The sequence below is a fragment of the Homo sapiens genome, chromosome 13 (genome assembly GCF_000001405.40).
Source record: "Homo sapiens chromosome 13, GRCh38.p14 Primary Assembly".
NCBI classification, from domain to species: Eukaryota; Metazoa; Chordata; class Mammalia; order Primates; family Hominidae; genus Homo; species Homo sapiens.
Window position 1 is genome coordinate 78,605,633 of NC_000013.11, and position 14,544 is coordinate 78,620,176.

General features: G+C 43.0%; 1 protein-coding gene and 1 long non-coding RNA gene across 4 annotated transcripts in view, besides 2 other annotated features; one reads left to right on the plus strand and one right to left on the minus strand.

The window, feature by feature from the left end:
- Positions 1 to 11,693, plus strand: part of OBI1-AS1 (OBI1 antisense RNA 1) — a 562,471-nt gene extending 550,778 nt beyond the window's left edge. The window contains exons 5-6 of the long non-coding RNA NR_047001.1: positions 1,340 to 1,578; positions 10,043 to 11,693. This is a non-coding gene — a long non-coding RNA (OBI1 antisense RNA 1). The remainder of the gene's footprint in view (positions 1 to 1,339; positions 1,579 to 10,042) is intronic.
- Positions 988 to 1,849: an enhancer, noted in NCBI's record as "NANOG-H3K4me1 hESC enhancer chr13:79180755-79181616 (GRCh37/hg19 assembly coordinates)". NCBI's record gives its function as "activates a minimal SCP1, AML or CMV promoter by ChIP-STARR-seq in naive H9 embryonic stem cells {active_cell/tissue: H9 hESC(naive)}" and the evidence as "EXISTENCE:reporter gene assay evidence [ECO:0000049][PMID:30033119]".
- Positions 1,850 to 2,709: an enhancer, noted in NCBI's record as "NANOG-H3K4me1 hESC enhancer chr13:79181617-79182476 (GRCh37/hg19 assembly coordinates)". NCBI's record gives its function as "activates a minimal SCP1, AML or CMV promoter by ChIP-STARR-seq in naive H9 embryonic stem cells {active_cell/tissue: H9 hESC(naive)}" and the evidence as "EXISTENCE:reporter gene assay evidence [ECO:0000049][PMID:30033119]".
- The window catches only part of OBI1 (ORC ubiquitin ligase 1), a 44,867-nt gene continuing 38,979 nt past the window's right edge, over positions 8,657 to 14,544 (minus strand). For all 3 annotated transcript variants that reach the window (XM_011535225.2, NM_024546.4, XM_024449410.2), the window contains one exon: positions 8,657 to 11,490. In XM_011535225.2, coding sequence (XP_011533527.1) covers positions 9,948 to 11,490 — 1,543 coding nt within the window. In that variant the 3' untranslated portion in view covers positions 8,657 to 9,947. The remainder of the gene's footprint in view (positions 11,491 to 14,544) is intronic.

The following is a 14,544-nucleotide window of genomic DNA, read 5'->3' on the forward strand; positions in this document are numbered from 1 at the left end:
AGCAACAGAAAGGTAAACAGTACAGGTTTGCGGCCGGGTGGGGCCTCTGAGAGCCAGGTGAGCTCCTGAGTACCCAAAAGGCACCTCGGTTCACCCTCCAACCCTGGGAGGCTTCCATTAAACCCAGCGGAGAGATGCCACCTTAGCCTGAAGTTAGGAGTTAGTCCCACCAAGATTTCCTTCCCTGTTCACCTCTCTTTCGACAACAGGAATACCCCACCTTGGGGTGAGGCCAGATCTTTGCTTGGGGTATTGGGTGTTTTGATGGGACCAGAAACATGAGGGCTATGGGTACAATCCTCCCTCCCCCTCCCACCATGGATAGGAAGCCCATCTAGGATACATCCATCTTCACTATAGCACTTAGTGCAGAGTTTGTCACAGGAAAAGTACCCCACCAAAAAACACGTGTGTAGGAAGGAAGAGAGGCCAGTTTCGGGTAGCCTGGGGGAGGGGTGGTGGCCTAGGGGCTGTTCAACAATCCAGGGCTGGTTGGAGATTGCAGGAAGATCCCTGGGTGGGGGGATGGGGGGGTCTACATTCTCCTTAAAAAGGAGGGGTGTGTTTTCCCCAGGCAGAGCTGTAAATTTTTATTCCAGCCTGTTCTTTTTCAGGAGCCAATTATTTCACTCCGCCCTCATTAACTTGCTACCTTATCTTCCTTCCTCAAATTCTTGCTGAGCGGTAGTCTGGCCCAGTACAAGACACTGGAGATAAAATGAGGTATACAATATGAGTACCTGCCCTGCAGGAGGTGACAGTGTATGTGCGTGGGGAAGCCACGGATAAAAGGCATCTATGACACAGGTATAACAGGTGTGATGAGAGGGATGTGTATAGAAATATGGAGCGGGTGATGCTTGGACAGTTATCATGCCTCATCCTCGTTGGTTCTCAGCCCAGGCTAAAGAATAGGGCATGCTGGCACATCTGCAGGCAGTTCCCTGGACCATATCAAGCCTCTCCCTACTTTCCTCCTGATGCGTAAAAGGAAAAGGTGGTGGGCTTGGGCTCAGCTCACCCATATGTCACTGTTTTGTTTTCCTGGTTTGGCAACTGCTGTAACTCGTTGGCCCCTGCCTGTGCTAATGATACCCACATGGGGTCTGAGCCTTGGCATAGATTCCTGGGCAATTTTTTTTCCTTCTTATTTAATGACCAACACAGATCTCCTCCTCCTCCTCATCTCATAGCTTTGCATTTTATCAAGAGAAGGATAATGAATGCACAACTATTGATTTCCAAGGAATTTCCGCCCCCAGGGACAGGGAGTCTATCATGTGGATCAGAGACACATTTCTTTCCCTCATTAATTAATTTTCTCCTCCTCCTTTGGCAGGCCTCACTTCCCGTTTCCTTTGGCAGCGCCCTTTTCCCGACCTAAGGGAGCAGACCTTCGTTGGTTGGCGTGAGGACTGGCGGGAGAGGTTTTGTGCCAGGATCCGCACTGTCTGGGGTGAACGCTCCTCACCTTTGACCTGAACCGCCAACTTCCCATCCTCCACTTTTGGAGAGCGCGCCTGATAGCTGCTGCCCACCTGGGCACTGACATCCTCCTTCCGACCGGGTGCGGAGAAAGTTAGTATTTGACTCCGCAGCCACTACTCGCCCCACCTTCTCACCTCCGAGGGGTTGAACCCGAGTTGTCTGTTGGGGTTTAGGGACTCAGGATCGGGTCTGAGGGACTTCGACATAAGTGCGTGGCGGTAGTGGGTATACAGGGGAGGGGGGCCGGGCCCCTCGCTCCTTCTGGAAACCGGGCCCCACTTGCAGGCCCGGCCACCTTGGGTTCTGGTGGCCGAAGCCGGAGCTGTGTTTCTCGCAGACTCGGGGAGCTACATTGTGCGTAGGCAATTGTTTAGTTTGAAAGGAGGCACATTTCACCACGCAGCCAGCGCCCTGCATGCAGGAGAAGCCCCCAGGGCCCAGGGTCGGCTGGCTTTAGAGGCCACTTAGGTTGTTTTAAGCACATGTGAAAGGGCAGACAGCAGGGGAGCAGGATATGGGTAAGATCTTCGGGTCTCAGAACAGGGGCTGCCCTTGGGCTGTCCCGGCGCCCTGGGCTCTGACACTGAAGGGTGGAATGGAGGAAGGAATGGAGAAAGGACGGTGGAACTTTCGCTTCCCCTCTGGGCCGCCTTCCCAGGGTCATGCCTGAGCTGCTTTGATCCCAGTGTCGCGCATCTTGGTCCGCTACCTCCCAGGCGATAGCTACTGGGCTCCTCGCTGGCCTCACTGGGGGCCATCCCGGGCAGTGGCCTGCCCTCCGAGGCCCGCGGGACCCAGCCCAGAGCTGAGGTTGGAGTTCTCCGGGCCACGTTCCGGGTCGCTTAGGCTCGGAGATTTCCCGGAGACCGTCGTCCTCCCTTTCTGCTTGGCACTGCGGAGCTCCCTCGGCCTCTCTCCTCCTCTGGTCCCTAAGGCCCGGAGTGGTTGGCGGTACTGGGGCCCGTCGTCATCTCTGCTTCTAAGGCATTCAGACTGGGCTCCAGCTGGGACCGGCAGAGGAGGTTCTCAAGGAAACTGGTGGGAAATATAGTTTTCTTTCGTCTGGTCGTTTAATTTAAATGCAACTTCCCTTGGGGACATTTTCCTGGACGTTAACCAGACCACCTTGAGATGTCGTTGATGACCTAGAGACCCAGATGATGCGTCCCAGGAAAGTTCACTGCTGACTATTGTCACTCTTGGCGTTATATCTATAGATATAGACCTATGTACATATCTCCACCCTGATCTCTCCGTGGACATGAAACCCACCTACCTTGTGAAAGCCCTACGGGTGACACATGACTACTACGTCTCTGTCCCAACAGGGGCTGGGCCTCCCCTGCCTAATAGTTGCCAGGAGTTTCGCAGCCCAAGTGAATAATGTCTTATGGCTGAACGTGGCCAAGGACTCCTGTGATTTAGGTCCCAGGAGGAGCAGAGACGTCCCCGCCCCGCCTGGGCCCTGCCGCATTCAAAGCTGGAAGAAGGCGCTGATCAGAGAAGGGGCTTCCAGGTCCTGGGTTAGAACAACAACAAACAAACGAAACTCCACAACAGACACGCCTGCCCATGACCCCACGCAAGGACATAGGAAGTTCTGTCGCCTTCCTGCTCCGCGGATAGCCGCCTGCCGTCTGCTGCCACCAGAACGCACGGACGCTCGGGGTGGAGGTAGTCAATGGGCAGCAGGGGACCCCCAGCCCCCACAAGCGCGGCTCCGAGGACCTGGAAGCGGGTGCCTGTCGCTCTCCGCAGGCTCCGCTCTGCCTCCAGGAGCAAGATCCCCAAAAGGGTCTGGAAGCTGTGGAGAAAACCGCAAGGACGCGAGTCCAAACCCGAGAGTGCGGAGCTGGGTCCTGTCACCCGGCTCCAACGCTCGCCGGCGCCGCCGCCAGCCGCCCCTCCTTCCCGCCGCCCGCACAAATCAAAGCCCCTTGCGAGGGACTGGGAAATAGTTGCCTTGTCATGTAACACATTGCCCTGATTTATTATAAAATTTTAACGAAATCATGCATATTTTAACAGCCTTTAATCACTGCATGAAAATTTAATTCATGAACTGTAGCGCGTTTAAATAAATGAAGTGTTAATTCATTAGGATTAATTAATTTGTTAAAGGATTGTGTGCAAGGTTAAGGTGGAAAGAAAACTCTTTGTTGGTTTCGCGTCTTAATCGCCAGGTTTCACGAGTAATAATAAAATGAAAGGAAACCGCAGGGCGGGCCGTTCGGGTGGAGCTTGGGCGGGACCAGCCCGGAGCGCCCCCGAGAAAGTGGGAAAATCGGGCTGGAAGGGCTAGGGCGCGTCTGTCTTCCCGAGACTGGGGAGTGGGGGTCCGGTGGGGGCTAGAGGGGAAGGGAAGAGCGGGCACCGGCGGCGGGAATCCGAGAAGGCCGAGTTCGCTGTAATCCCAGGGACAGAAGAGGGCTCAGAGCCGAGGCTGGCGGGCCGGACCCCATCTCCCCAACCCGAACACAAAGATGACCCGGTGGGTTAGGCGAGGTCGCCCCTTCCTGCCCTCAAAAGGTCAAGTCTCGTCTTAATGGACAGATGATGGGCCAGCTCGCCACCGCCTAAACGTTCCAGCGCCCAGGGAGCCACTGTCTCGCCATCAGGCCGCCGGCTCAGGAGGTTGGGGCAAGCCCAAGAGCCTCTGGGGACTCCGAGAGGAGGCGGAGCAAAGCCAAACGTGTAAACCCAGGCTGGAGCAATCCGGGAAAACTTTTTTCAAATAGGAGCCCTGATGTTAAGGAATGGTTTCTTCAGCACCTCTTCTGAGACACAGGCTAAATAGGCGTATCCTTCAGCACAGCCCGACACACAGGAGAGGTGTCCTCTTCTGCGCAGAACTCTTATTCACCCTTCAAGACCCAGTACGAGTAACAGGTCTGTGAAGACGCCAGACTTTCTCACTGCTCCACGCTATCCCCAACAGGGGCATTTTTCTACTCACAAATAATGTAAGTATCAAAATGCATTAGAATTGCATCCTCCCACCTCCCAGTAAGTCTCAGTAAAGGGCCAAGCCATATCTCTTGGGAAAAGGATCTTTATATCCCCAAATTACAAACGTCACATAAGGCCCACACTTCTACACACCAATAAGCTAACATTTATTAGAGAAGGTCTGCTCCTTATTAAGACACAACACTTAGAATCTAGGATAATGACAAGAAAAAGACATAGCAGGCCTAAGAATCTGCCTTGTTTCTGAAGTGGAGCTGCAACTCAAGGCATTCTAGACTGTCTCAGTCATATAAAACTGAAGATCGCCCTAACTTGCACTCCAGGTGGGTTCTGTAAAGAAATCTGCATCTTCACAGATGCTTCCTAGCTGACTGGGGTTCCGAGAATTAGGCAATAAATGTTCACTGTGCACTCAGATCATTGCTTAAAAGGTTTTCTCTGCCAAGTATTATTAAAAGGATCAGGTTACATCGTGATAGGCCAAAGCTGTGTTGTAGGACTCCCACAAATGGGAATGAAAGAACTTCTTATGAGGCTCTGGGAAACCCTTCTAATCTAATAAAGTACATCCCATAAACAGTTAATCTCAGTTTGATTCTCTCTACAAATACCATCCAAAGGCACAAAAGGGGGAGAAATCTAGTGTATGTATTTCACTTTGAATCATTGAAAACCATTCAAGTAGAAACAAGAAGTTCCTGAAACATCATAGACTCAAGACCAAGTTGTCTTTTTCAGTAGTCTTTTCAAACCAATGTAGATGGCCAAGAGATGATTGGGAAACAAAGCCGACTTGAAATTAAAGGACTGTAAACTACTGTACCATGTTCTTTTTTTGTGTGTCAGCTAACTCCATAAAACAGGAAAAAGACTTGGCATTTTTGGATGGAATGATTTTAAAAATAAAAGATGAATACTAAGTCATGACCAAAAAACAAACAAAACTGCTAGCATCCTGTCACATTCCCATAGCCAAAGCATTTTAAGCAGTCAAAAGATATTTTTCTAAAAACATGAACTGTCTGCTTCCTTATCATGAGTACATCTTTTTCTATCATAGCCTTAGTGAAATTAACCAAGACAGGAAGGTTAACTTAATCTAAATGTCAGAGTCAGTGTGAATCTATTAAGTGGCACACACACAACTCCCACCGTTGAGCTTCTGTTTAGTAGTCAGACTCAGGAACTAAATGCTACTGTAAAAGAAACATGCTAAGCCCAAGAGGTCAAGGCTGAAATGAGCTGTGTTCGCACCACTACACTCCAGCTTAAGAGCGAGACCCTGTCTCAAATGTAAAAATAAAAAATAAACATGTTAATACTTCCAAAATACTTTAAAAATAATTCTTGGAAAGTTTCAAAGCCCTTTGTCCTTTAGTCTATAAATATGAATTCTTTATTACACAAGGGAGAAGAGCAGAAGCTCTAGAGCCACAGACCCAGCTCCAAGATATGGTTCATATCTATTCCAGCTGTGTTATTACTCTTTCTCGATTTGTTTTTCTGTAAACTGGGGACGACAGTACTTGGTTCACAAAGTTTTAAGAAGGGATTAGATGAAATAAGGAATTAGATGAAATAGAGGTTAACTTAGCAAGATACTTAGTTTTAGTATAAGATAGGGTTGTTTTTTGTTTGTTTTTGCCTGGAGTGTGTGTACATAATAGATACATTTAAAAATCTATGAAACCACCATATTTACCATGACATCACATTATGGTAAAGTGGTAAAGAGTACAAATGAGAATGTGTGATTAAAATAAAATCCTACACAGATTAGACCCTTTAAATAAATGGCACACATTTAATACATGGAATACTGTTTTAGGGAGAATGGAGGGATGTTTCTGAATATAAGCAGTGGGAAAATACCTTAGTCCAACATAGATGCTTTCACCTAGGTTAGTCATTAGTAAATCAGGTTACACACTCCAGATATCCATGTCACAGTGTCAGTGTGTATTTGGACTAAAAAGACACATCCTTGATTACAGATAGAAGTACAATGAGGCTTACCCCTTGTCTTCATCCATCTGTACTGCCATGATGAAATGTTTTGGACTAATTTTTAAACAATACAATTTTATTTCTCATTGTTCTGGGAGGTCCAAGATCAAGGCACCAGCAGATTCTGGTGAGGTCTCAGTATCTGCTTCAAAGATGCTACCTTCTAGCTGTGTCCTCCTCACATGGCGGAAGAAGCAAGGAAACTACCCCAGGCATTTTTTTTTTTTTTTTTTTTTGCAACCTTGCTCTGTCACCCAGGCTGGAGTGCAGTGGTGCGATCTCGGCTCACTGCAACCTCCGCCTCCTGGGTTGGAGCCATTCTCCTGCCTCAGCCTCCCAAGTAGCTGAGATTACAGGCGTCCGCCACCACGCCCAGCTAATTTTTTGTATTTTTAGTAGAGATGGCATTTCACTGTGTTAGCCAGGACGGTCTCGATCTCCTGACCTCGTGATCCGCCTGCCACGGCATCCCAAAATGCTGGGATTTCAGGCGTTGAGTCACTGTGCCTGGCACCCAGGCCTTTTTTATAAGGGCACTAATCCCATTCAGAGAAAGCAAAGCCCTCATGACCTAATCACCTACCAAAGGCCCCACCTCTTAGTACTATTACCTTGGGTGTTACAACATGTGAATTTGGAGGAACACAGATTTAGATCATACCACCCCTAAATTTAACCTGTGGCAGAAAAATTTTAATTTCTATATTTGAGTTTCTAACGTGTAGTCATATTATCAAAGACATTTAAAGTGCCAATAGCTCTGAATGTATCCATTAGCTTTAACATATCAGAAAAATGATTGGAAAATATGTAACATAAAACAAAATTCTGCTTTAAATTAGCTCTTTCTGGCTTTTTTTTTTTTTTTTTTTTTTTTTTGAGACAGAGTTTTGCTCCTGTTGCCCAGACTGGAGCGCAGTGGCATTATCTCGGCTCACCGCAACCTCCGCCTCCTGGGTTCAAGCGATTCTCCTGTCTCAGCCTCCCAAGTAACTAGGATTACAGTCATGTGCCACCATGCCTGGCTAATTTTGTATTTTTAGTAGATGGGGGTTTCTCCGTGTTGGTCAGGCTGGTCTCGAACTTCCGACCTCAGGTGATCGGCCCGCCTCCGCCTCCCAAAGTGCTTGGATTATAGGCATGAGCCACAGCGCCGGCCTCTGGCTATTACTTCTATAAGTGGAGGACATGATTCTTCAAATTACAAATGTGAATTGTCACTTTTATGGTTTCATTGAATCCTCAGTCTATTATAACAAGGGTCGGCAAACTTTTTTGTAAAAGACCAGATAGTAAATATTTTAGATGTTGTAGGTAATATGTAAACAAATGAGTGTAACTGTGTTCAAGTAACTTTATTTAGAAACAATGAAATGTGACTTTAATATAATTTTCCTGTGTTATGCAATAATCTATGGATTTTTAAAAACCTTCTACAACTGTAAATTCCATTTTTTGCTCACAGGCCTTTCAAGGGAGATTTTTAAAAAAGATTAAAATGCATAAAACTGAATTTTATGATTGGCCAGGTGTGGTGGCTCAGCACTTTTGGAGGCTGAGGCAGGAGGATCACTTGGGCCTGGGAATTCAGTACCAGCCTGGGCAACATAATGAGACGCTGTCTCTGCAAAAACTAAAAAATCAGCCTGACATGGTGCATGCCTGTAGTCCCAGATCTGTGGGAGACTGAGTGGGGAGGATGGCTTGAGCCCAGCCCACCCGAGGCTGCAGTGGGCCATAACTGTACCACTGCACTCCAGCCTGGGAAATAGCCGCAGACCAGATTTGGTCCATGAACCATAGTTTTTCAATGTATTATAAAATCAATTAAGAAATGGTAGTTTTTTGTAATCCCAGCACTTTGGGAAGCCAAGGAAGGAGAATCACCTGAGGTCAGGAGTTCGAGACCAACCTGGCCAACATGGCGAAACCCTGTCTCTATTAGTAAAGTACAAAGATTAGCTGGGTGTGGTGGCAGGTGCCTGTAATCCCAGCTACTCAGGAGGCTGAGGCAGGAGAATTGCTTGAACCTGAGAGGCAGAGGTTGCAGTGAGCAGAGATCGCGCCACTGCACTCCAGCCTAGGCGACAAGATTGAGACTCCGTCTCAAAAAAAAAAAAAAGTAGTTTTTCCTGGTCTTTATAGGCTAATTCAATATACGAGACAAAGAATCATCATCGACATCAAGGAACACAGTGCTTATGACATTCTTTATTCAATTCACATAGAAAAGCATGCAGTATTAATGTAAAACAGTACAATATTAATGTAAAATGTTCAGTGCACATTAAACAGCATACATACCCATTTTTAAAGACCTATATAGGCATACCAAATACGTTTAGAACAATACACTTTTTCAGAGCCTAAATTAAAAATTGTGCTTACCTCTTACCTATCTTCACCCCCTCAACACTCTTCACAGAAAAGTTTTGTCCTACATAAAAGATATTCTATCAGCCAACTGAAACCTCTTTTTCTTAAGTATGGAAAACACAGCAAGCAAAAATGCTACCATGCATAGTTTCCACAAAGAACAGGAACATGCAAACAAGAAACATACTACTCAAAAGAAAACTCCCCTGGAATGCAAGTGGATCAAGAACTTGGCGATGAGCTCTTTCAAACCTGTTACATCTGGAACAATGAAGCTATGATGTTTTAGGTTCCTCTAAACCCAAGTGCTCCATGCCTTCTTTCCATAGTATGCTAAATTTCTGATTTTACACACATACACACACACGCAGAGGAGAAAATGTAAGCTACCTAACATAAAACAAATGTCTTCATATAGAAAATGTTTTCTTTCATACTAGCAGAACATTTTCACAAAACTGGACAAAACACAATGCTAAAAAATGCAAACATATACATAAAACCTAAAAAAAGAAAGTAAATCAATATTGGACTAAGGCTAGAGTGCTATTTCTCCATCATGGCCCTGCAGAAAAACTAGGCCATCACTAAACATAAATAAAAAGGGACAGGTAAAATAATTTCCACCCTGGGAAAAGCTTAAACTCAAGTGTCTTATTGAGCAGTGTATAGACAACACTAAAAGTTTTATTTAAGAAATCCAAGTTCTGAAGACAAGTGGGGCTTATCAACAGGCCACTGTATCTAACAGTTAAATAACATTTTTTAAAAAAACAATGTATATCCAACCGAGATACATATCAAATTCAGTAAAAAAACAAAACCAAAAACAAAACCAACCAACCAACCAACCCCAAAACACAAAAATAACCTCCTCCCTAACTTCTCTGGTCACAAAGACTCCCAAATAAAAATGAAAAGAACAAAGTCTTTTCAAAATGAACAATAAGTATTCTGGGTACAGGTTAATCCACCATCCTGACTTGATACTTGACTAAAGATTATCAATTCCAATTTGTATAGAACTTTTATGAGGAAAAAAGGTAACTTTAACAACTTTTCTATTTCTCTCAGGACAAAACCACAAATGACACCTTTCTAATGAGTCAACTTTTAGTTGCTTTTGATGGGCTGGCACTGGAAAGGCTGCTCTGGATTTTTCTTTTTGTTGATTGATTCACATTTTTATTCCTCTTTTCAGGCACAAAGGAAGTAGACCAAGGAGACTGAAGGTGGTTATGAAGACTGTGCATCTCTGAGGACATCTTAAACAAAGATGACCCAAATCTTTGATCTTCAAATAGTCGATGTGAACTGCTTAACAAAATGCCCTGGGAAAACTCTGTCTGAAACAAGCAGCTTGGGGGTTTGATTTCATTAGTTACTGGACAAGAACTGGAATGGAGTGAAAAATCTTCATTCATTTCTTGGTCAGATGGAGAGAGGAGAAAAAAAGAAGTGGGTTTCCATTCACTTCCATTTTCTAACTGATCATTAGTTAGAGAACCTTTGGAAAGGTTTAGCTCAGTTTTTTCTTCCAACTTATCAGGTTCCTCAAGAAATTCACTGCCTTGAGATGACTTTGATAACCCATCCAAATCCAGTGACTTAAAACCGTTATTACAAGGGCTCTTGCTGTTGTCTGACTCTGACATCATTGAATCCAACTCAGAGATTTTGTCAAGGTAAGCAGCATCCATCGATGCTTCACTGGATGTTCTTGTCCGGTTCATTTCAAAAGAGCGAATAGAATTCAACCTTTTGGATAAACATAAGCCTGATTTCTCACTCAATTTTGAAGATATTTCTCCAACAGAATTTGCTATCGTGTTCCCCTCTGAACTTTCAAAATCTAAGTTTTGGGCATAGCTTGTGGAACAACAGTCCCAAAATCCTGTCTTTGGGGAAGAAAAACATTCTGATTTCTTTTCATTTTCACTTCTACTTATATCATCTTCTGAAGAATCTTTATTAGAAACATTTGAAGAATCACAAAAATCATCAAACACCAATTTTCTGAGATGGTTTGAGTGCTTTTTGGAACCTCCTGCTTGGACCACAGAGCTCTCTCTATTTTCTGGAGTACTGAGCTGAAGGCAACTAAGGGACAAAGGAGTACAAGGAGCTGGAAGATCATAAAGTTCTTCATCTTTGTAGGGTACACAGTCACTTGGTTTATTCCCCCATTCTCTTTCCAAATAAGTATCCATACTTGTATCTGTCACATCTAACATTACTTCTACCTGTTCTTGATATAGGTCTTTGTTCTTAGAACAGTTAAGGTCTGCTTTGCTGGTACTTTCCTGCCTTGCAGAACTGGTGTCACACAGTCTGCTGCTGGAAGGCTTCGCTAGGTGAGAAGAACTGGAGGTGGATGAGCCAGGCTGCTTTCTGGCACTATCGCCTTGATTCTTTGACACCACATCCTCCTCACTGCCTTTGCTCCCTTTGCCATCTGCAGAAAGTGCTGTCTGGCAAATGGAATTCATAGCTTCTTTCTCTTCACTTGAATTTTTTAGCTGTGCAACTTGAGATTCTAGTTCCTCTATATACTTATCACTTCGTTCCAGGGCTTTCTTGAGGCGATTGGTTTCACGCTCATACTGTTCTACTTTGGACTGAAGAGCAGCAACTGCAAACCTTCCAAACCTACAAAGAATGGAAAGATAGTTAATCTTATAACTCAAGCTTTTTTCTTTTCAAGGTTTGAGAGTGCAAACTGTCCCAGGCTATTCTAATTTCACCTAACAGTGACATTTCAGACCACTCAATGAGTAGGGCAAATGCCAGATGTATATTTTCAAAAAATGGTTTCCCCACTTACATAATAATAAACATATGATAATAATAGCAAAACCTAATAGGATATTTTTGTGGTTAAATCAGATCTATGGTAGCAGAGAGGCAGAAATGTGCTGATGATTTCCCCTCGAAGAGCTGGCTGTATCAATTCAGCTCATATATGCATGAAGAGTTATCCCCTAAAACAATGGCAAAGATTTATGATAACATTTGAACAGTGGTCTACATCTTGAAATATTTACATTCAATCATTTTCCTATCATACAGCAGTGTTTTACAATACATTTCTTATATAATGTCACCTTGTCAAACATAAAATGCCAATTTGAAATTCAGAAATCTTAGCAGTCCCAGGAGGGGTGGTTTTAAATACTTATTTGGGCCCTTTCAATTATAGCCACCCTTGATCTGAAGCTTTTCTGTGGCTTTTCAGAGCACTGGCCTTTAATTTATGTCAGCACTACTTATTTTTGGCATTTTACAGCTGTGTGGGACATCTATCTCATTTCTTTCAACTTTGAAATATGAAGTCAGTGCTTGTGATTCCAATATACTAGGCAAAAAAAAAAATTTTTTTGTACACTTTCTGAAAGAGAACATTTTGGAGAGTGACTGAAAAAGAATTCCCTTATTCACAAAAAGTCTACTCCTTTTACACCGGGATTATCTTGCTGTTATTTCCACCAAGAATGAGTACTGTGTTAAGCTCAGGAAACAATTTTTGAGTACCTAGTATAGGTTAGGTGGTATATTTGGGGCTGGGAACACAAAAGATAAAAAAGACTGTCTAGCTCCAAGGGACATAAAATATCTACCTTAAATTCAATCTTATCACCAAAAATAAATTCTATCTTTCAGGAAACTTATGAGCCAATAAATAACATAATCCCGTGAAAAATACCTTATCTCCTCCAAAATTCTTTTCAAAGCCTATTCTTAATCATCTTTTTGATGATTTATATATTGGCCCATTTCTAAGAATTAAGGGATTGTCTGTTTGGAGGAAGCTATGAGAAGGTGACTTTCAAAAATTATTTTTATCTTTGGGTTTATCTTTTTCTTCCTTTTTTCCCCTAATTTGAAAAATAATTACAATTAAGAACATGTATTTAGTATTGAAAAAAAAAACTACAAAAAAAGCAGAAGCCAATAGCAATTGCCCCTCTTAGAATCAACCACAACATGTTTTCAACTCCCACTTAATGCCCATCACCTCCTAAACCACTAGCCCAATTCATTCCCCATCTCAACCCCTACATAATCCCTGCACTCTTATCACTGAAGGAAAAAGCAGAGGCAAAGGTAAATATAGAATCATAAAATCTCAAGATTAGAAAGGGCTTTAAAAGACATGATTGCTGAATATTGATTTACTCACTGCAATTAACTGAACCCCCAGAGAGAGCACGCTCCCTTCAACTTCTAAAAAAACACAGCAAAAACCACAGGTATAACAAAAACAAAAGCAACTATAATAACAAGCCTCCCCATTTTAAAGACAAAGTTTACTACTGTATTTGGTTAAATGAATGATGGGAATTTTTCTTCTTTGTTAAAAATGTTTTGGCTTATAAATGTAGTACTTCACAGAGTTGTAGTTCTGCAAGAGAACTTTTAAAAAGTGGGCAAAGACCTTTCAGTACATTAAGTACAAATGTTTGTTAGTTCTTGATTGTAACTACTCTGGCATAATCAAATAACCCACATTTTTAAATGGAAAAACTGTAGTATGTTTATTTAATGCCAATAAGCAAAAGTGACAGCCTTACATTTGCTTATCAAGATAAATTTCTTCAAGTAAAATTTTTTATAATAAAGGTATCTCCTCAGATAAAAAAATCAAATGACTTAAAATCAAATAATGCTACTACATAGTAAGTCAGTTGCTACCAAAGGATATCTTTGGGAACTTAGAGGCCTACACACAGAAAGACTACTCAAAAATAAAGAATGCTTCCCAAAATATTACCAGCTTCTTGTTCCAGGGTTTTAGCTTGGAATTTCAAATATAGTATCATCTTAAGATACTGTATTTGCCTCTCTCTCTCTATATATTTTTTTTTTTTAGAAATTATGTTTTTAAAAGAAGTAACATATGGTTTGGAGTTGAAGTCAATGAGAGCCCTAAACATAATTTTTGTGTTATTTCAGAGAGAAGTAACAAAGGCCAGTAGCAGATCACATATGAGAGGCACAAGCAAGCAGAAGTCACTGATGGAGTTAGGCTGTTTTCTAAAAGGCCACTGCCCCCAATTTCCTTAAGTTTCCTTTCAATACTCTATAAATCTATAATACTTTCAGTGATCAGGCCCTTCTCCCATGCTAATAAGGGACCTGTGCTGGTTGGCAGACTGACAGAAATGTATACTAAAAGCCATGCAACTGATCAATTAATCAATTCATGTAATTTATTTGCTTTCTTTCTCCCACGTTAGAATAGAAGCTCAAGGAGAGCAGGTAGTTTGTCTTATATTCACTGCCAGATTCCTAGAACAATTCCTGGTATACGGCACTTGCCTGTTGTGTATTTCTTGAATAAAAGTCATTCTCTTACTTTAAGATACACTAGTGCCTTACATTGAGACAGGGTTGACACCACAGGATAAGCTAAAGGTCCTTGGCCTTCTTTTTACATGTTAAGTATTATGACAGTCACTGTATTACTAAAGTAAACATGTTTTGTTTACTACATTTGACTGTTTACTTTATTTCACTGACACCCAGGAAAGCAACAGAGACTGACATATGTACAGTACAGCCTTTTTTGCTACAGGCTTGACATTCTATACTGCTCCACCCCAAAAAACTTCACCTTAGTAAGACTGCAAATAGATGAGACTTTTGACATGTGTCAGGAAATTTTCAGCTTATCCAAGATAACTATATTAAATTTGGCAAAGG